Genomic DNA, 23,056 nt, shown 5'->3' on the forward strand with positions numbered 1-23,056 from the left:
CCCTCCTTGTCCTTCTGGCCCAGCACATCCTCGCCTGGCATTTCGAGGCGTGTGGACGCATGCGGTCAGCCTGCTGACATAGATGTTCGTTGTGGTGGTCACTTGTGCAAAATTTCCTGGTGCCCTATAGAGAGTTCCAGCCACCTCCTGGGTCAGCCCGGGCTGTTTTCCCAAATCCACCAGCCACCCAGCCGATCAGCTGGGCCAGTCCCACCTGCCCGCCAGGAGCTTGCAGCCCTCGGAGGGGATAAATAAGGCGTGACGCGGAGAAGCTAACATCAGACCTGCCCATGAATAATACCCCTACGAGGGATGCGGTCCGGAAGCACGGTGCCAGGGGTCGGGTAGAAAAGCTTCCTGGCCGGGCACACCTTGCCCTAGGTGCATAGGATGGATCTGAGCTGAGATGTCTCTCCCAGAGAGACTTCCCTCGTCACCGTTTCTCACCTTGTTGCTCTGCTCCGTCACAATATCCTGTTGCATTTTTTATAGCACTTACCCCTCTGACATCATCTTGTTAATTTATTTGTGAAAATTCACAATCGAACTGAGTTCTTGAAGGCAAGAATCTTGCCGGTCTTGCTCAAAAATCATCCTCAGTGTCTCCCATATAGTCAAGGCTCAATGACTACTTATTGAAAAATGAAAAAAATCAATAGCTATTTGTGGGATGAATGAATTAATGGAGTCATCTAGTTTATTTGTTGTAACTTCCGCTAGACTGTAAGCCCCTGAGGGCGAGGCTCTTGCCAGACTTGTTCAGTGATTTCCCCCTTCCTAAATGACAATTATTTGTTGCATCAATGGATGAAAGAATGACTAAGAATTGCTGGGGCAGGAGGAGGTGGCATGTGGTTTCATTCAGAGATGAGCCTTGTCCAGGGAACAGACTGCCTGGCTTAGCTTTCAGAATATGGCTTCCCACCCTGCTCTCCTGCACTCTCCACAGCCGTCTACCTCCTAACAGAACAATTTGCCATTTTCAATGAAGGTTATGGAGGAAAATCTTTACATCTAGTTACTTAGAAGCTTGTTAGAAGGACCACCTCATTCTTGTTCTTAGCTTGTTTGATTGTTAAAGACAAAAAGCCAGGTTAATTTAGGAGGGAGGATAATTTTTCAAAATAACATAAGTCCTTTATACAGGAAAACAAAAATTACATTAGACAGGAAGGAAATAATATGGTTGGGTAGTTGCTAAGTGCAATTTGTGGTACCTGAGATTTTCTTTTTTTAAACCTACAGTACTTAAGAGTGATTTCTTGGGGAGGTAATGCTTTAAGGGCTACTGAGAGTACCTCAGCCTTGACTAAGATGCAGTTAACGTCGCTGGGTGTTAAAAACACTGGTTCAAGAACCATCAGCACAGAACAGCCTGTCCCTGCTATTCCTGGAGTTCCATGAGGCTGTTCACCATTCAGCATTCCTGTTCTGTTTATTTTAGAGAACATTATTCTGCTCTCAAGTTCAAAATTTCTGTGTTTTAGTCATGAAAATTAAATGACACCTATCTCCCGTGCCCCCAACACACATACTATATCAGTCTAATTTTACTTACTAGATCTAGAGTGGTGGGATGGGGCATGGAAAGATGGAGATCCAGGACCCAATTGTCTTCTCTGCGTGTCTCCTCATGGTAGAAATAATACCACCTCTTGCTTGGATTTGGAGGGTAAGACTTACATAATGATTATCTCCTGGAGACTCTGTTAGGAGACACAGAGGAAGCAAATTAATGGTTTTTAGATACCTAAGCACTGCATTACTTGACAGTGCCTCTCACAGAAACAGAGAAGTCATTAACAACAGATCATTACTTTGATTTGAAATTAACTAGGTGACTGGTAGTTATGGCCCTTGCCCCAGGGATGACACACATCTCCACACCCTTCCTGCTGGGATCTCCTGTTGGGATCTTGCCGAGCTCCGTGTCTGGGATGAGAATGCAGACATTAACTCTTACCTACAAGGAACTTTACAACTGGCCAGGAACCAAAACCAAAACACAAGTCAAGAATCAACTAGAGGATATTTATTTATTTTTTAGACAGAGTCCCACTCCGTCACCCAGGCCCAGCCTGGAGTGCAATGGCACGATCTTGGCTCACTGCAACCTCTGCCTCCCAGGTTCAAGTGATTTTCCTGCCTCAGCCTCTGGAGTAGCTGGGATTACAGGTGCGTGCCACCACACCCAGGTAATTTTTGTATTTTTAGTAGAGATGGGGTTTCACCATGTTGACCAGGCTGGTCTTGAACTCCTAACCTCAAGTGATCTGCCTGCCTCGGCCTCCCAAAGTGCTGGGATTATAGGCATAAGCCACCATGCCCAGCAAGAATCAACTAGAGGATATTTAAAGGAAGGGTTGGGTGTTCACAGCCAAGAGACCCAGAACTTTGAAGTGCAGCCTCTGGGTCCTTATGGAAGGTAGTGGGCAGAGGAGGATTGGCTAAGAGGCTGGGATCAGGGGTTGGTATAGCAAGAGGCAGATGGCAGCACTGACATGAGTGGCCCCATGTTAGCCAGTTCCAGAGACAGGCCAGGCAGGAGAAGCACTCCATCGTCAGCTGGGCCTCAGCTACTGTTATTTCCAAATTCCCCTCACTTGCACACCACCTTTACAGCTGTTGCCCTATCTTCATTCCACATGTCCCATTGTTCCCGGACCAAATCAATGGTCAGGCTGCTTATTCTCAAGGCCCAATAACGAGATGCAGATGAACTGGGAGAGAAGAGAGTTAACCGGTTACAGGGAGGAGGCCTGGAAATTATCACCAGACCAACTTAAAATTACAAAGTTTTCCAGAGCTTATATACCTTTTAAGCTATATGTCTATGTGTAAGTGTGCATTCATCTAAAGACATAAGTGATTAACCTCTTCTAATCTATAACTAAGATCTGAGTCCTGAAGACCTTCCTCTGGAGCTTCAGTAAATTTATTTAATCTAAATGGGTCCAGGTGCTGGGATGATTACTCCTGCTACATCATGGAGGTTTGGGGAATTCCTTCAGACCCCTAATAAATGTGTCTATGGAGGCCTGGGGAGTTTCTTCAGACCCCTAGTAAAACTTGTTTAATCCTAAGCAGGTTCTGTTAAGAATTCCTTTGCCATCTTGTCATACTTCAAGGCCCAGGAAAGGCCTAGACAAAACTCTTGGTGGGCTTTCGTGACATTCCAGCCTTTGTGTAAGGACACTGACTCTTTTGGCTTTTCATATTTAACCACTCAGTCAGCATGGAAACAGTTGTTATGGAGGCCTGCATCAGTGAGACCTGGCCTGCCACACCATTGCTACTTGACTTTTTATATCACTGTGGTCTAAGAAGAAACGTACTTGGTCTTTGTCCCGCATTCTTGTCACAGAGCTCCTAAAACCCTTGGGATTTCCTGAATGATAGGGATGCCTTTGATTATTTATAACAAGCTCCTTTTGATACCATCTCCAGGTAGATGGTGTTGGAATTGTAATGGCTGCTAGAGAATTGTGTGGTTGGTGGAGAGAACTCCCACACATCTATGTCGGAACGTATGTGTGTTGAGAGTCTAGTAGTAGGAAAAACCATGTGTTTTTGTCAGAATCAGCTTCCTTACAAATACACTTGAAAGGAAACTTTATATAACTACTTTCATTAGAAAACCAGTATTTTTACCCTGATAAATGCTAAATACATGACTCTTAAAATAAGGCAGTGAGCCCCGTGGGCCTTCCTAACACCTTCTCGTCTCCTCACAAAGTGGGCATGTCTCACTTTGGTGCTGACTTCCAAACTTCCCAGGTGCTTTTTGGACTCTCATCCATTCTCCTCAAACTCCAAGCCACCTTTTCCTCTGAATCTCTCAGCAGTGACCTTTATCTCTAAATTCACTGTGAACTCCTTCAACTGTCTTCTTCTCTTTGTATTCTCATGAATCCTTTCCGTATATCTTCTTAACTCTGAGAATCTTTCTCTCTTTCCCTCCCTCCTTCCCTCCCTCCCTCCTTCCTTCCTTCTTTCCTTCCTTCCTCTCTCTTTCTCTCTCTCTTTCTTTCTTCCTTTCTTTCAACAGAGTCTTGCTCTGTCTCCCAGGCTGGCGTGCAGTGGCGTGATCTTGGCTCACTGCAACCTCCTCCTCCTAGGTTCAAACAATTCCCCTGCCTCAGCCTCTTGAGTAGCTGGGATTACAGGCATGCACCACCGCTGGCTAATTTTTGTATTTCTAGTAGAGATGGGATTTCGCCATCTTGGCCAGGCTGGTCTCAAACTCCTGACCTCAAGTGATCCACCTGCCTTGGCTTCCCAAAGTGCTGGGATTACAGGCGTGAGCCACCATGCCCGGCCTCGTTTTTACATTTTTATTTTAGAGACAGAGCTTTGCTCTGTTGCCTAGGCTGGAGTGCAGCAGCATGATTATGGCTTACTGCAGCTTTGACCTCCTGGGCTAAATCGATCCTCCTGCCTCAGCCTCCCGAGTAGCTGGAACTACAGATGCGTGCCACCATGCCCGGCCATGATAATGTGTCCCTTCTCCTTTCCAGTCTTTTTGTCTGTGCTCCCTTCATTTAGTCATTGCACAAATAACAACTGATCATCTATTCTGGGTCATCCCTATCACACTACAGCAGCAGGTGACAATTTCCCTAGGGACGATATTCCCCAGGGGACATTGGCACTGTCTGGAGACATGCTCGGTTGTCCCAACTGGTGGTGAGGGTGCCACTGGCATCTGTGGGTAGAGGCCAGCGATGCTGCTAAACATCCTACAATGCACAAGTTGGCAACTGACTCCCTGCCCCAACAAAGAGGGATCTGGCCCCAAATGTTGACAACGTCAGTGTTGAAACCCTGGGGTTCATCTAACAGGCTCTTATCTCTGTCCCCGTCTACCTGTCTGGCTTTGATGTTTTCTCCTCCCATTCTCCAACTCAGCTGAACCCACAGCCACATAAATCTCTCGCTATCCTTACAGGCCATGCATTTCCACACCCTTGAACTTTGCACATGGTGTTCTCTCCACCCAGAATGCACTTTCCTCTGATTTGCCCTGGAAAGTCTTACTCATATCTTGAGATTCTGTGCAAATACTCTACTCTCCAAGTGTCTCACTGATACGCCTCTCCCCACTAGCTGAGCACAGTGCCTTGTTTCGGCTTCTGTGCTCCTGTTTGCATTTGACACAGCCCTCATTATGACACATCACTGTGGAAGTGTTGTGTGTGTGTCCACACTGCAATTTAAAGTCCAAAGTGATGACTTCTGTGTTAGAAGGATGGGGGTGGGAGCATGGCTCCTTATCAACCTCTTCATCATTTGAGTCCTTACTATAAATGTGGCCACACAGTGAAGCAAGAATCATCATAACAAGAAAATATTTGCCACTGAACCAAATCTGTACATATAAACTTGGTGCCTTATGAAAGCAGCAGCATAGATCCTCATCGCTTGAACCTATGTGATTGCTGGTTAGTCTCCCACTGATTGTCCAAGGCTAAAAATAACACAAGTGGTTGGAAAGTGAAACCAAAACTCTTGGAGAAGATGCAGAATTTCATCAAGTTGATGAGAATGATATTCAAGAACTCCTTCATTATACACTAACCCATCAATAGATGACTTTGTGTAGAATTAAAGCAGTTAACATTTGAGCAGACAAAATTGGCAAGGGATGGTTCACAAAGAAAATGATATGAATGGCTAAAAGTTGGGAAAGACCCTTGGGAAAAATATTCGAGTCCTTGAATATTTCTGCAAAGATGTCCATCTCTGCGACTGAGTTGTGAAATTCAAACATATTTTGCAGTGCTATTTTCCAGTTTGGTGAGGAAAATCATTGCAGAAACCAGCACTTGGTTCATTCTATGTGATAACAATTTGATAGAGTTACAATTTTAATCTAACACATGTATGTATATATATATATCTCATATAAATATCTATCATTATATATATCACTAAATATACACATATGGATATATGTGTATATATATAAACTTACTATCATTACTTTATTTTATGTTATTTATTTATTTTTGAGATGGAGTCTCACTCTGTCGCCCAGGCTGGAGGGCAGTGGCACAATCTAGGTTCACTGCAACCTCTGCCTCCTGGGTTCAAGCAAATCTCCTGTCTCAGCCTCTCAAGTAGCTGGGATTACAGGCACCCGCCACCACACCTGGCTACTTTTTGTATTTTTAGTAGAGATGGGTTTTCACCATGTTGGTCAGGCTGGTCTTGAACTCCTGACCTCAAGTGATCCGCCACCTCGGCCTCCCAAAGTGCTGGGATTACAGGTGTGAGCCACCACGCCCAGTCAGTATCATCATTTTATGTTTCATTTTTCAGGGTAAAGTGTCAGCTGCACTTTTTGTTTTTCATCATTTACTGTAAAATATTGATGTTGCTTTTAAGTGGATTTGCTTTCAGTGAGCTTATTGGGTACCAATTGCATACCAGAAATGACAGCTTTCTTCAAACTCCAACAGCTAGGACTACACAGGGAGGTCGGTGAGGAGAGAGATGCAATCAGTACTTCGGTTACAAACAATAAGGGCAGCGGTGATAGGAGAGGAGCAGGAAATTGGAGCCATGTTTAGGAAGCTGTACTGGCACAGCCCGGGACACTCTTACCTTTTCACTTGTGGCCCAGGTGGCCCTGATGGAATAGAGAGCCAGAGTCTGCGTGGCCATAGAATAAGCCAGAGAGAAGTGACCAGCACAGCTCAAGCCTGAGATTTCAACATCCCTATCAGCTCTCCAACCTAGGGAGTGTAACTGGCTGAGAAGGAGAGACCAGAACACAGGAGGGGCTCAGGGGCTCCCAAGCCCTCAGACATGGCATCCACCCCTTGTCTCTGCAAAGGCAAACTCCCCATTTTAGGAATCACATTACTCCTAATTTAATACAAATCTTTCTTTCTTTCTCTCCTTCTCTTTCTTTCTCTCTTTCTTTCTTTCTTTCTTTCTTTCTTTCTTTCTTTCTTTCTTTCTTTCTCTCTCTCTCTCTCTCTCTCTTTCTTCTTTCTTTCTTTCTTTTTGTTTTTTTCTTTGAGACAAGGTCTCTTATGTTGCCCAGGCTGGTCAAACCCTGGCCTCAAGTGATCCTCCTGCCTCAGCTTCCCAAAGTGCTGGGATTACAGGCATGAGCCACCCCACGCAGCCTAGAATCTAGAGTCAAATTCAATTTTGTTTCCATTAGTGATTGAAGATTTCAGGTAGCCATACAGAACTTCCTGTCTATGATTTTTCCCATTTTTTGTTTACCTAAATATAGAAATAACTTATTCTTGAATCCCTGTCTTAAGAAATGAATCTCTTCTGGAAAGCTCTGACTATCACAGGAATTCCCCATCCTGAGAAATTAAAGGTAATTTCTTAATGCTAAATCAATCTGTCTAATTAGCAGTTTTTCCATAACCAGGTCCATGTCAAAACTAGCTTTTCTCTTTTTCTATGCTAAAAGGTTTTATCCTGAAAAGACTCTCATATACTCACATACACGATGGTATAAAACCTGGCCCAGAAATTCTCACTGGGATAATGAAAATGACATCATTGCATGTGTGTCCTGAGATGAACAGTTCTTGCAGTCCTTTCTTTTACATTCATTTGAGTGATATTGCTTGTTTCCTATTACAACATCAGGAGATGGAAGTCACTGACCAGCTGCCAACACCTGAGCACCACAGGCTCATAGTTTCTCTTTTTTCTTTTCTCTTATGTGGGACCTTTTTTTTTTTTTTTTTTTTTTTTTTAGCTGGATTCTCACTCTGTCACCTAGGCCAGAGTGCAATGATGCGATCTCAGCTCACTGCAACCTCCTCCTCCTGAGTTCAAGCGATTCTCCTGCCTCAGCCTCCCAAGTAGCTGGGATTACAAGCACCCACCACCACGCTAGGCTAATTTTTGTAGCTTTTTAGTAGAGACAGGGTTTCATCATGTTGGCCAGGCTGGTCTCGAATTCCTGACCTCAGGTGATCCACCTGCCTCAGCCTCCCAAAGTGCTAGGATTACAGACATGACCCACAGCACCTGGCCCATGTCGGATAACTTTTAGGAAGAGAAGATAGAGATTTCAGCTTCTGTTCTCATTGTATTCTCATTCCATTCTCATTCTTGTATTCTCCTCCCAAACAAAATAAAACAAAGAAATGTGTCCTTTCTAGCTTTATGCATGCATGTCCTCCGAGGAAAGGCAGTCCTCTTCATGTTTAGATGCTCCAAAATGATGTCAAAAATTTTCCGAAAGGTTTTTTCCCACCAAGTGTAAAGTAAACTGAAGCATTCTAGACTATGAGGCAAACCCAGCAGGATCGAAGGGACTGCAAGCATCTAGGGTTGTGATGTTTTCAGTTCTGGTAAGAAAGAGCACATGGACAGAAAGAGGCAGAGAGATGGTCTGTCTCATTCACAGGTATATCCGCAATACCAGGCACATAGTAACGGCTCAGTAAGCATCTGTTGGGTGAATAAAGGCATCAACAGAAAGCAAGCCAAGTCCTGGTGTTAGGTAACCCATGCCTTATTTATCATCAAGGGGTCAACAATATATAGTGTGTACAGTTTATGAGCCCTGACATTTACCAGAATTTGGAACTTGCAAGGCATAACATGAAGGTCCCAATCCAGTAAGAACACAAGGGTACGGGGAGAGAATCAGCAGGTGCCCAAATCTGGGCAGTGCCGCTGCCAGCTCTCTGGGTCCCAAAGCCACGTCTAGGGAGACCAGGGCACCTAGAAGCAGCAGTTGTTCCCCAGCTGGCTGTGCAGAGCAGGTCTGGAGGGAGACAGGTGCCCGCAGCCCAAACTGCCTTCATTTGAGAGAACAGCTGTTTGCTTGGGCCTTAGGCTGAGGAAAAAAATGCTGAGCCATATGTCCTTAGTAAATCAGTGCATGGCCCTATCAGAAAAAGTGCCCAAATGATTGATTAGAAAGTAACCAGCCAGCCCTTACGTATAGCTTTACTTGTGTGCTGCAAGTTTGTTTAATGTCAAAATGTACCAAAATCCACCCTGCGCCTTCCACTTCCATTTTTCATCACAGAAATATTTGCCAAATGCATGCACTGAAACCACTGGGGAAGAGAAGAAAGTAAGACATTTTCTTAAGAGGAGGGACTGCAAAGTGAGGCAGAAACTCGAACAGGAAACACCCTCTTTTATGGATTGTGTGTGATGTTAAACAATGATGAGAATGTTTCTGAGTACTTGCAGGCTGATAGATCATAAAGGAATCTTAAATTCACCTAGACCTTTTTTTCAAACACTCAGACACCTACCAGATGGGGAAACAGAGGCACTAGAACCCATATGTTGACAATCTTTGGAATCCATTGAGTTAAGACCATAATCTACATCTCTAGTCTTTTTCCTTTGCTGACTTGTCTATTCACTCAGAGTAACAACGTAGAAAAAGCCTACCTTAAGAAGGAGTTTCAACGGTTTCTCATTTCTTCAAATGGTATTGAATATAATTCCATATAAGCTTTAGTCCTCAAACAGCTTTAGTCACTTACATCAGCCAACTGGTACCTTCAGCAAAAATACATTCAGGTATTTACATTTTTAACAAGATAAATCAGCACATAGCATTGGTTGTATATTTATCAAAATTCTACCTTGGGTAATTGTGATTTATTGGAAAAATTAATATCAAAATCTAAAATGTTAATCAAACTTAACTGAAAAATGCAAAAATCAGCACCTTTCTTTCAAACCAGCAGTGATCATGTATAAACAATAATAGAAAAACCCTATCAAAAATAACTCAAGGCCAAGTGCAGTGGCTCACGCCTGTAATCCCAGCACTTTGGGAGGCTAAGGTGGGTGGATCACTTGAGGTCAGGCATTCGAGACCTGCCTGGCTAACATGCTGAAACCCCATCTCTACTAAAAATACAAAAATTAGCCGGGCATGGTGGTGCGTGCCTGTAATCCCAGCTACTTGGGAGGCTGAGGCAGGAGAATCGCCTGAACCCAGGAGGCGGAGGTTGCAGTGAGCCGAGATTGTATCATTGCAGTCCAGCCTAGGCAACAGAGCGAGACTTTCTCAAAAAAGAAAAGAAAAGGACCTAAAAATATGAAATATCTAGCAAGAAATCTTAACAAGAGATGTATAGGATCTAAATGAAGAGAATCATAAATTTTCTCTGAAGAACGTAACAGGAAACCTGAATAAAAGATGATATACCATGCTTCTGGGCAGGGAGATTCAGTGTTTTGATACTGTCAATTCTCCCTAAATTAGTTGAATGAAATTCCAGTTGAAATCTCAGTAGGACAGTTTTGGAACCTGACAGAGTGATCCTAATGTTTCTTTGGAAGAACAAACAGGTGAGGGTGGCCAGGAAAGTTTTGAAAAGGTAAAGGGAGGAATTCAATCTACCAGATATTACAACATATTAGGTAGCTATAGTAGCTAAAGTAGTGCGAAACTGAGCAAAAATGGGTAGAAAGAAATGGATACCCTTAAAATCAACCTTAACATATATGACATTTTAGCATGTATTTTAAATGGGCATTTCAAATCCAAGGGGAAAGGATAGATTAGTAAATAAATGGTGCTGAAACAGCCAGTTAAGTATTTGGAAAAGACAGAAAGTAGGATTATCTCAGGCTATATATCTAAATCAATCAGAGATTACCTAAAGAGAGAAATACTAAAAATCTAGTTATTCATACAGCTTCAATTGCCTAAGTGGGACAGAGTCACAAATATAGAAAACATCAAAAACATTAAAAGGAAAATATAGTATGAAAATATTTACCACAAATGTAATGGATTAAGAGTTAATTTTCTTAAAATATAGGCTGGGTGCCGTGGCTCACGCCTGTAATCCCAGCACTTTGGGAGGCCAAGGTGGGTAGATCACTTGAAGTCAGGAGTTCGAGATGAGCCTGACTAACATGGTGAAACCCCGTCTCTACTAAAATAAAAAAATCAGCCAGCGTAGTAGCATGAGCCTGTAATCCCACCTACTTGGGAGACTGAGGCAAGGGAATTGCTCAAACCTGGGAGGCAGAGGTTGCAGTGAACCGAGATCATGCCATTGCACTCCAGCCTGGGCAATAGAATGAGACTCCGTCTAAATTAAAAAAAATATATATATATATATATATCCTCATATAACCATTAGAAACCCACTAAAACCCTTTAGAAAATGAAAATACCATGAACAGACAATTGGTAGAAAAAATGCAAGTGATTAATGTGAAAAAATGTTCCACTGCTTTGGTGATCAAATAAATGCCCATTAAAACCATATACCATTTTTGGCCTATCAACTTAGCAAATCGAAATATAGCTCTTATTCAAAGTTGGTGAATATGAAGTGAGGTAGGTACTTTCATACACTTCTATTGAAAGTATCAGTTGGTACAGTCTTTCTGGAGAACAATTTAGCAATATCTATGAAGAGTCTTAAACATTCCTGTTTGTCCTTGTGATTCTCAATGCAGGAATTTAAGGAAATTCAGAAATTTGGACCAAGATCTAAGTCACAGAATTGTTTGTAATAATATAAAGCTGGAAAAACCTTAAGTGTTCAGAAAAAGATTCACTAGTTGGATCATGAAGAAACAGAATTTGTGTTTTAAGGGGAGGGAGAAGAAGTGGGAGAATTCTAGGGAGAAAGAACAGCGAGGGTGATAGGAAGGGTACATGAAAGTACATTGCAAGTTTGATTTGGAAACTGTAGTGTGCTCTGGAAGGCCAGGTGAGGGGCAGATAGAAGGGGTAAGAAGAGGTGAGGGTCAGAGGCTTGTGTAGCGGTCTATCTCCTGCATGAGAATTTAAGATGTAAGGACTCTGGGTTGGTTATCTTTATATCCTTCCAAGTTCCTAATAGGTGCTTAACAAATGTCTGCTCAATAATCAAGAGATTTCTTTCAGTGTTGAGCGGCTTTGAGTTCTGTGTTGTTAGGTTATGGTTTTCCTCTATAGCTAGTAAAGATTCAGCAAGTTTTTTCTTTTTCTTTTTTTTTTTTTTTTTGAGACAGAGTCTCGCTCTGTCGCCCAGGCTGGAGTGCAGTGGCGCCATCTCGGCTCACTGCAATCTCTGCCTCCCGGGTTCACGCCATTCTCCTGCCTCAGCCTCCCGAGTAGCTGGGACTACAGGCGCCCGCCACCACGCCCGGCTAATTTTTTGTATTTTTAGTAGAGACGGGGTTTCACCGTGTTAGCCAGGATGGTCTCAGTCTCCTGACCTCGTGATCCGCCCGCCTCGGCCTCCCGAAGTGCTGGGATTACAGGCTTGAGCCACCGCGCCCAGCTAGATCCAGAAAAGTTACTTAGGAAGAAAATTAATAACGACTCTCCTTAAGTAACTTGGTTGATTTATGACAGGCATTAAATGATACTTTAAAACAGCCTTATGTGGACTTCAGTCAGTAGGGGGTGCACCAATGCTGAAAATTCTGATACTAATAAAGAATAGCACTTATTTGTTAATCTTACGGTCCTTCGTCCTGCTTACTATTTGTCCCTTTTTTGCCCATCTCACCACTCTCTATCCCCCACATTAAGAAATTTCTCATTGCTGCACATACCACCAGTTATAAAACTGGATTTTAATAAGAGTTAATTTAATGTTGCTGTTTATTAAATTGTTACAAGTAAGTGTGACATTTTTGAGAAATTGCTGTATGGAGAAGAGTTTAAATTGTGCTTATTTATTCATGACACATTTTTTATCACAATAGTTGAGAAAGTATTAGTACTAGTAAAAAATGGAGGTGATATTTAATAGTCCATGGGGACACAAATTGTATAATTAAAAGAAGAGTAATAGTGACCTTTAGATAAAGCATATTTCATAAAGTGCTCATTAAAAAGGAGTTCACTTTTGGAACTTTATTTTCTCAAAGTTCTCTTTATAAAATAGAATTAATAAAATACCACAGTTTATTGAAATTTTAAAGAGTACAGAGAGCTGTGGTGTTGTGTAGAGAAATTGAGGGGGAAATAAAATTAGGTTTGTATATGGTATTTTTGAAACAAAGAGGAACCTGATTGGCATAGTTAACATTTGAAGAATATAGCTAAAAATATTGCGCCAGAATAATAAGCCCTGGTATCAAAACATATGAAATGAGAATTAGCATTTCCTGAGAGAAAATTAAAACTATAGAATTAAAGAAAGCACCATCTGAATAGGAAAAGAGCCATTTGTGGTAGAGTAGAGTTTGGAAACTGAGAGGTGCCTACATTTCATTAGATGATGCTATGCTCTTTTGAAATGATGATACAGGGTGTACCAATGATCTTCTCCCTTTCCGTTCCTTAAAAATGCTTATAAAGTGGCTTAAAACAAAGGAAAATATTAGCAATGAAAATGATTACTAAAGTGAATCATATGCAATCAAAAGTTTAAAAACTTTTGTAGAAGAAAAAATTATGAAACTAAAATTTAAAAAAAAAGCACCATGTGGAAGACCTATTAAAAGGCACAGATGCTCAAAAGAACTCCTAAAAGATATTTCAACGTTGCACTTTCTCTGAATAACATACTTATAAAAAGTCACACAGATAACCTAAAATTAAAAGTTTATACAAAGATAGAGCAATGATAATAAATATGAGAAAGCAAAAGCTTTTGTATATTATCAAATAATATCTTATTTTATCAAATAATATCATATTTTATCAAATAATTAAAACATATTATGTGAAATAAATGGGTGGTTATACAAAGATAAATACAGTACATACTTAACACATAATAATTGTGAATTTATATGCACCAAATAACATGGCAACAAAACACAAAAAGTGAGGGATAGAAGAACTTCAAGTAGAAGCTAACAAAAATTTAGTTACGGAGCAGCATTAAATTTCTTGTAATCAAGACCACAACAGGTAAAGTAAATAAAATCCTGCAGTCTGTAAGTTTGATATACTCTCCTTATAAGTATTCAGAGAACACTTATTACTCTTATCACTTGCTAGTTTACATAAGATCAAATGAATAAATATCACCAGAAGTTTTACAGGCTGTACTGTGACCAAAATACAACCAAAATTTGAAAGTAAATGCCTTAAGAATAAACAAACAAAATTGAAAATTACTGCAATATTTTAAAGTAGTCCCTCAAAGAACAACTGGGATAATGGGAAAACAAAGAATTCAATAAAGACAATTTAGGAAATAATAACAATATACTACATTTCAAGATCTATAAAAGTCAATGCTTAGAGAACAAGTTAATGACAGCTTTAAATATTTTTATTGTTAATATGAAAAAGAAAAAGTAAATTTATTATTCAATATTACATCTTAGGGAAAAAAGAACACAATAAAAGAATAAAAAAGTTATAAATTGGAAGGCAAGAAAATAAACAGTAAACTAAGGCAAGAGCTGATTCCTTGAAACTTTGATAATAGACAAACCTGTGATAAATCTAATTTAGAAAAACAAAACAAAAAAAAGCCAAACATAAAAAGTAGAAATTAGAAATGAAACAGAAACCCTATAGACATAAAAATTATAAGAAATCAATGTTGATAATTCTGCAACTGTATTTGTAGCTCTCAAGGAAATGGGTAATTTCACACAAAAATAGAAGTTTCTAAAGTTGAAGCGAGATGAAGAAAATCTTTATACATTAATAAGAGAGGAATACATTCAGAAAATCATCAAAGAACTATTAAGATTTCAAGAAAGAGGGCTCTGAATCTGACAGATAATTACAAAAATATTTTAAAGAAATAAATAATACTGTTTTACAATGAGTATTCCTGACAGAGAAACACTTATTATACTACCGATAAGGATAAGCACCCCAAACAACTAGCCAAGGTCATAAAAACAGATGGGGAAATCTTAAATGAAACCCATTAAAAAGACATTGGATTATGAAGTAAAACGTATCCCTGAAATGCAGGGATGGTTCAATGACAAAATGTAATATGGTATGAGAGAATTAAATGAAAATCCATACATAGCCATTTCCATAGATGTTGACAAGTAGTTTGACAAAATTCAGCACACATTCTAACTACACATTTTTTAAAAAAAGGCTAGAGGTATATTTTCTTAATATATTAATAGTTTTTGTTTGTTTGTTTGTTTTTTGAGACAGGGTCTCCCTCTGTTACCCAGGCTGGAGTGCAGTGACATGATCTCAGCTCACTGCAACCTCCACCTCCCAGGTTCAAGTGATTCTCCTGACTCAGCCCTCTGAGTAGCTGGGATTACAGATGCCTGCCACCACACCCTGCTAATTGTTGTATTTTTAGTAGAGACTAGGTTTTACCATGCTGGCCAGGCTGGTCTCGAACTCCTGACCTCCAGTGATCCACCCACCTCGGCCTCCCAAAGTGCTGGGATTACAGGCACAAACCTCTGCGCCTGGCCATTTTTTTTTTTTTTAAATCAAGGCCGGGCATGATGGCTCATGCCTGTAATCTCAGCACTTTGGTAGGAAAAGGCGGGAGGATTGCTTGAGCCCAAGAGTTTGAGACCAGCTTGGGCAACATGGCAAAAACCTGTCTCTACAAAACACACAAAAATTAGCTGAGTGTGGTGGTGTGCGCCTGTAGTCCCAGTCTGGGACTCAGGAGGCTGAGGCAGGAGAATCGCTTGAGCCCAGGAGGTCAAGGCTGCAGTGAGCTGTGATTACACCACTGCACTCCAGCCTGGGTGACAGAAAGAGACCCTGTCTCAAAATAAATAAATAAATAAATAAATAAATAAAAACCAAGTAACATTATAGCCAATGGACAACCTTAGAGACATTTCTTTAAAAGCAAAATGAAATTTTTAAGGTGCTGCCTTAATTTAAAATTGTTTTGAGATGTATATTCAATAAAATAAAATCAAAAATTAAGAAATAAGAATATGTAATGGACCCAGCAAGACAAAACATTCATTTTCAGGTGATAAAACATGTAACTAAACCTGCTAAATGTTGCTGGATACAGAACAAATCTTCGAAATCAATAGTATCCCTGTGTATCCGCATTAACATTTCATTAATTATAATAAGAAAGAGTAGAAAATCCTTAGAAATAAGCTTAATAAGGAATAGATGCATGAAATACAGTGAACAGTTTACTGAAAAGTACAAAGGAAGACATGATGGAAGGTAGAAACATGCTGTGTCCTGCAAGGGAACACATTTTCTAAGGATGGTAATTTTCCCCAAGTTCAATTAAAATCCCCAGAAGATGTTAAACAGAACAAAAATAGCTAACGTAAATAATTGTAAAAATCATTAGAAAAGAATGGTCATGAGAAGCTATAAAGAATTTAAGTGGCGACCAGCCCGGCTGACCGAGGTGGATATACCATGAAGCTACTGAAGTTTTCACTCCTAAGCGCTCAGGGCACAGATCCTCCCAGTAATGCCTGGGAGGAGCTCTGTTTTTCTCATGGTGATGTGCTTTTGTAAATTTTACGTCAGTAAATATTTTCTTCATGAGATACCACCCCTCACCCAATTGTATAAGTTTTGGGTGTCACAATACTTGAAGCCACCATGCCAGATATAAAATGATGTTCTAAATCTATAATAATTAAAAGACAGCTGGCTGGGTGTGGTTGCTCACACCTGTAATTCCAGCAGTTTGGGAGGCCGAGGTGGGCGGATCACCTGAGGTCACGAGTTCGAGACCAGCCTGGCCAACATGCTGAAACCCCATCTCTACAAAAATACAAAAATTAGCTGGGCGTGTTGGTGTGCACCTGTAGTCCCAGCTACTCAGGAGGCTGAGGCAGGAGAATTGCTTGAACCTGGGAGGCGAAGGTTGCAGTTGAGCTGAGACTGCACCACTGCACTCCAGCATGGGCAGCAAGAGTGAAACTCTGTCTCAAAAAAAAAAAAAAAAAAAAAAAAAGAAAGAAAAAATAGGTCAATAGAACAGAAACGCCAGAAGTAAATAAAATGATATGTAAAATGTAAATATGTCACATATACACCATGGAATACTATGCACCCATAAAAAAGAATGAGTTCATGTCCTTTGGAGGGACATGGATGAAGCTGGAAGCCATCATTCTCAGCAAACTAACACAGGAACAGAAAACCAAACACCGCATGTTCTCACTCATACGTGGGAGTTGAACAATGAGAACACATGGACACCGGGAGGGGAACATCACACACTGAGACCTGTTTGGGGGGCAGGGGGCAAGGGGAGGGAGAGCATTAGGACAAATACCTAATGCATGTGGGGCTTAAAATGTAGGTGACGGGTTGATAGGTGCAGCAAACCACCACAGTGCATGTATACCTATGTGACAAACGTGCACGTTCTGCACTTATATTCTGAACTTAAAGTACAATAAAATACAAGAAAGGAGAGAAAAAATAAATATGGGAGATAGTGTCATAAAAATATGAAAGAACGCAAGAACACATTATTTAATATATGGTATTGGGTGCAGCTAGGTGATGTTCAAAATAGTAACAACTGGTGTGGCATGGGCACAATGCACTGACAGGTAACAACAGTTACTGGCCATTCCCAACATATGCTGCTGAACCAGTGTGTATGGACTTCATGTCATCCCTGCTATAACTTAGGAAATTGGGAAATGCACTTTATTTATTTGTTTTGAGACAAAATCTCACTCTGTCGCCCAGGCTGGGGTGCTGTGGTGTGAGCTCAGCTCACTGCAACCTCCGGCTCCCGGGTTCAAGCGATTCTCATGCCTCAGCTTCCCGGGTAGCTGGGATTACAGGCACATGCCACCAAGACTGGCTAATGTTTGTATTTTTAGTAGAAATGGGGTTTCACCATGTTGGCCAGGCTGGTCTTGAACTCCTGACCTCAAGGGATCCAGCCACTTCAGCCTCCCAAAGTACTGGGATTACAGGCATGAGCCACCAGGCCGGGCCAGGGAATTGCACTTTAGATCTATACTGTATGCTATGTTGAGCTCCAGGTGGATTGGCACATTAAATTTAAGATACTCCTCATGCCTGTAGTCCCAACACTTTGGGAGGCTGAGGCAGGCAGGTCAGGAGTTTGAGATCAGCCTGGCCAACATAGTGAAACCCCATCTCTGCTAAAAATACAAAAATTAGCTGGGTGTGGTGGTGGGCGCCTGTAATCCAGCTACTTGGGAGGCTGAGGCAAGAGAATCTTTTGAACCTAGGAGGCAGAGGTTGCAGTGAGCCGAGATTGTGACACTGCCCTCCAGCCTGGGCAACAGAGTGGGACTCCATCTCAAGCAAATAAAAAAATTTAAAATACTCGATTCTAGACTTTCTAAGAATAGAAGCAATAAAAGAAGCCAAACATTTTAATAATTAGAATGTAGAGCATTTTTATAAAATGAAAATTAACAAAAATCAAAAAGGAAACTATTTGGGAAAAAAATGTGAGCATCAAATATGGCAAGGGGTTAATATTTAAAGAAACCACTTTAATATATACCAATAATGTGGAGGGTCTGATGAACAAAGAAACAAAGGTCATAAGTGGACGATTAACACAAGAGCGAGGAGTAAACGAACATATGGAGAGATGTGGGGCTTCTGGATTGGGTAAAGACATGCCACGTGAGGTAACAGTGGGGTGCCATTTAAACTGTTCACACGAGTGATATGTTTAAAAAGATGCATATTGCTGCTAACGCTGCAGTTGTACTAGTAACTGGCATGGTATAGTTCAATTATTTTACTTGCTTATAATTTTCTCTTGAACAGACATAGGAGAAATATATATTGGCAATATAAAAGTAGAATAATAAAAATGTTTTTGCCTTTTTGCCCCATAATCCTGTATTTGAGAAGAAGCATGGCATGGGGAAGAGAGCATGGAATTTCGAGTTGGAAATTCTAGGTTTGAAGCCAGGTTTTAATACTTGCAAGCTGGGCAATCCCGGGAAAGTTGCTTAATTTTCTCTCTGGTCCTTAGTTTTCTCTTTTGCAAAGTCAGGATTATCATATGTGCCTCAGAGGGTTTGGCTGAAGGTTAAATGCAATAGCCTGGGTATAAATGGAAGAACTTAACATTTCTATGGCACTTTGTTCCTTTGTTCATGAATCTCAGTTTCCTTGTCTGTAACATGGGATAATAATACCTGTCTCACAGTCAGAAGAGATAATGTATTCATTCACACACGGATTCATTCATTCAACCTTGAGGGTTTAGGAGTGACTTGGTGCTGACCTAGGTGCTGGCCATACGGAGGCAGATGAAGCAAACCCAGTCAGCCATTCCCTTTCCAGCTGGAGCTGAGTCCAGAGATGGGCTTGTCATGTGGTCATCATGCCACAGGTCTCAACAAACACAAACACGCTGTAATTAGCTAGGATGACTCTGCCATCCAGGGCACATTCAGTGCTCCTCAAAAGAGAGTCCACAGTTATATTTCTTTTGTGTGTCCTCTGTATAGAACAGAGGCTCAAATGAATATTCCATTCATCGGGTGCATGCATGCATAAATGTCTACAGGAGGGTCATTTGTTTTAATGAACAATCTGAAGTCACCTAAATGTCCAATATAAGAGGAGTGGCTAGGCCAGTGGGATTGTAATCACACAGCAGAAGACTTTGCAGTCATTAAAATGGAAAATTCTGAGCATCACAAAAGACACAGAAAAATATCTGATATAATATTACACAGGAACAAAAGTAGAATACAAAATGACACGAACTTCACAATTATAAATATATGTCCAGAATCAGAGGGAATATTGAAAAGCAAACATTTTATTACAGCAGTGAGATTCTGGGTGAATTTAAAAAATTCCTTTTATGATGTGAAAATATTGTGTTAGCAATAAAATAACAACTACCAGAAAGAAAATGGCTGCTGTGCAGAGAGAAAAATAGATGAATTTATTAAATTTTTTTGGTTGAAGTATAACTTACAAATGGTAAAGTGCACCTAAATGTACACTCAATGAATTTTCCCATATACACACCTGCCTAAATGTACACTCAGCTAATTTTTCCATATGTGCACACCTGCCTAAATGTACATTCAATGAAGTTTTCCATATGTATACACCTGCCTAAATGTACACTCGATGAATTTTTACGTATATATACACCTGCTTAACCTCCACCCAATTCAAGTTATAGGACATTAAAAATGGGTGATTTTAAGTGGGAGAAAATAGCTTTGGTGTATGTTGTGAGGGTGGACATAAAATCAATAGACAGTATTATTTTGCAAAAAATATCAGTCTTCCTAATGTGAAGATAAAATGTTAGAATACATTAAAACAGCAGAGAATGTAAGGCCCATTTTTAGAGGGAGTTCAGAAGTTGATAGATTATCCGAGGAAAACAAAGTGAACAGACTTTTTTCCCCCTTTTTATACTAAACGGCCCAAATGGAGGAAAATCACTTTCAAATGATTACATATAATATGCATAACGACAAATCCGACACTGCCAAAATCATATGCACAACCTCAGTTTTCCTTCCGGCAAGATAAACAAATCGACACCGATAAATCTGAGTGGAAACAGGGCTGTCAAATGTTATCTTCCGGACTTGGGATTAGAAACAAGGGGAATGTCGCAGAAGTCATTTGGCACCAGGAGGGCTGTGCATGCCCTTGTCTCTCTGCCTCATCCTTTGCTGCACTTTCCTCCAATACGTGAGTACATATGTATATATTTCTCTCACAGCCCCTCCTAATTCCCAAACCACAAACACCGAAGCCTTATATAATTTCACTGTGATTTCTTTTCTGTTTTTGATTTATCTGAAGTGTTGCTTGACTGCTTTATCTTTCTCTACACAGCCTCTTAAATTGCTTCAGCAGATCTAACCTCTCCAGAGACCGGAGACAGGCACAAAGCTTTACGCCGGACACTGCCAGGCCCACGTCCGTGTGGGCGTTGAATGGATGCTACGTGATGGCAGAATGAGTCACTGAGATTTAGGCGGAGAGTTTGGAGGAAGGTGCTAATGAAAAGGGCTCTGGTGCTGCAGGAGACATACGCAGGTCAGGAATAATGACGTCAGCCCGGAGCCAGTGTTTAAAAATAGTGAAGCTCTTCTATGAATCAAAATGATTCTATGGGGAAAAAACTAAACTGGTGATGGAAGGTTATATTGCTTTGTAAAAGAAAAAGTAATTTATGCTCGACTTCAAGAAAAGCAAAAGTTACAAATCAAAATAAACTCAGAAGTGCTTGAAGTAGGCAGAAACTCATCAAAACAGTTGGAGTGAACTTACCATGTTCTGTACACTAACTAAAGAAAATTGCTAGGGGATAGTGAATAGCAAAGATGCCTGGCTTCCTTCCCTATCGCAGTCACCTCTGCAAGTAGGATTACCAGCTTCTGCTTTGTGACAGCTTTTGCTGTTTCTGATGGGTCCTTATGCTGAGGGTACAGTCGACAGACCATTCACTGCTGAAGCTGTCAGAATTAACCCCAAAGAAAAACGGAGCTGAATAGGCTTTATGATTACATAACATGCCTAGACTTGACCAGCCCAGGCTGTTTGTTTATATATGTCTGGCATGCCAGATTCGACCTGGCTTAAGTGGTACCTGCTTTAATTAATTTAATTGGTTTTCTTTTCTTGATGGAAAATAGAAAGATATTTAACTACTCCAAAATCTCTTCCCTACCCCATGAAAGCCTTTGTAAATTCTATTTGATGAGGTGGTTAAGTTATTCAGTGAATGATTCTATGCAAGCATATACTCACAAAAATAATATTTAAACAATACTATAGCTGACATGGAATAAATACCAAATAACTAGTCAGACCACATCTGTACTTTTACAGTTGATCTTAGCCAAAGGCTAAGAAGCAATGCACCTCTGTACTTCTAAATACAAAATCAATTCTGCAACATAAAAACATTCACCTATGGGAATTGGGATTTTGGCTTTCTTTTAGTAATTCATAAGCTTGTGGTAATAAGTATAAAAACAGGAATTACCAACTGAGTAAAAATTTTTCTATCTATAAAAACTAAGCAAAGCCAATAATTAAATACTGTAGTTTTTGAAAGTTTAGTTTTAAAATTTGTCTTTTTATAAAATTAGCCGTGATATATATTTTTAAATGACTAAATAGTACAGCAGGCTAGAGATCTTATTTATTTATTTATTTTTTTGGAGACAGAGTCTTGCTCTGTTGCCCAGGCTGGAGTGCAGTGGCACGATCTCGGCTCACTGTAACCTCTGCCTCCCAGGTTCAAGCGATTCTCTTGCCTCAGCCTCCCTAGTAGCTGGGATTACAGGCGCCGCCACCATGCCCGGCTAATATTTTTGTATTTTTAGTAGAGATGGGGTTTCACCATGTTGGCCAGGTTGGTTTCCAACTCCTGACCTCAAGTGATCCGCCCACCTTGGCCTCCCAAAGTGCTGGGATTACAGGCATCAGCCACCAGGCCCGCCCGAGATCTTATTTTTTTTCTTAAATAACCTGGAGCAACTTAATAATAAAAACAAACAAGTTAACTTTAGTTCCTGTTGTTCGCTTTATACATTATCAAGGTGTTGCCATAAAATATGAGATGAAGGTAGAAATGGTTTTAATGAGGCATGCTTGATTTTTCTTAGTTTGTTTCATGCACATTTTATCTGTATGACAAAATATCAATGTGGAATTAAATATTATACAGAAAGAGGATATAGAAAGCAAGCACATTTTATTTTTGCTTTTATTCTTTCCCATTGCACTCAGTACTATAAATGAGTTGCAAATGAGGTACAGCTACAAGTAATGAAATTGTGCTGTTTGGTACAGTTCTAATAATTTATATCAATGAAACATAGTAACCGTTGCATGGAAAGTGTGACTCCATCTACACAGACGGCAGCACAAATAGATAAAGGAAACCTGAGTTGGGATTACATAACGATAAGAGTATGCAACATAAAATACTGTGGGTTGCATTAAATTTTTTTTTAAAATTATGTGGATATCAAGAAAGGCAAAGAATTTGACTGCATAACTGGAAATTATGCCTCTAATTCTCTAATTATCGCCAAGCTAATTTATAATGGAAGAGCAGGATGAGAAAGATAATCATGTCTTCAAATGAAGTATCATGATTTCTCAGGGGTGAGCTACATTCTGTGTCACACTGGAAAAGAGACAGACATTGCCCTTTTCTTCTAAAAGGATTTAGACACATAGAACACATTTGTC

General features: G+C 40.4%; 1 long non-coding RNA gene across 1 annotated transcript, besides 1 other annotated feature; it reads left to right on the forward strand.

Annotated features, from left to right (window-relative positions):
• Window positions 20,346-21,545: an enhancer, noted in NCBI's record as "P300/CBP strongly-dependent group 1 enhancer chr20:57638504-57639703 (GRCh37/hg19 assembly coordinates)". NCBI's record gives its function as "activates an origin of replication core promoter dependent on BRD2, BRD4, P300/CBP, MED14 and CDK7 cofactors, with strong dependence on P300/CBP, by STARR-seq in HCT116 cells {active_cell/tissue: HCT116}" and the evidence as "EXISTENCE:reporter gene assay evidence [ECO:0000049][PMID:35650434]".
• Window positions 20,347-21,103, forward strand: LOC124904943 (uncharacterized). Its single transcript, XR_007067680.1, has 2 exons — window positions 20,347-20,536; window positions 20,684-21,103. It is a non-coding gene; the product is annotated as an uncharacterized LOC124904943 (long non-coding RNA).

Source organism: Homo sapiens, chromosome 20 (genome assembly GCF_000001405.40).
Source record: "Homo sapiens chromosome 20, GRCh38.p14 Primary Assembly".
Lineage (NCBI taxonomy): Eukaryota > Metazoa > Chordata > Mammalia > Primates > Hominidae > Homo > Homo sapiens.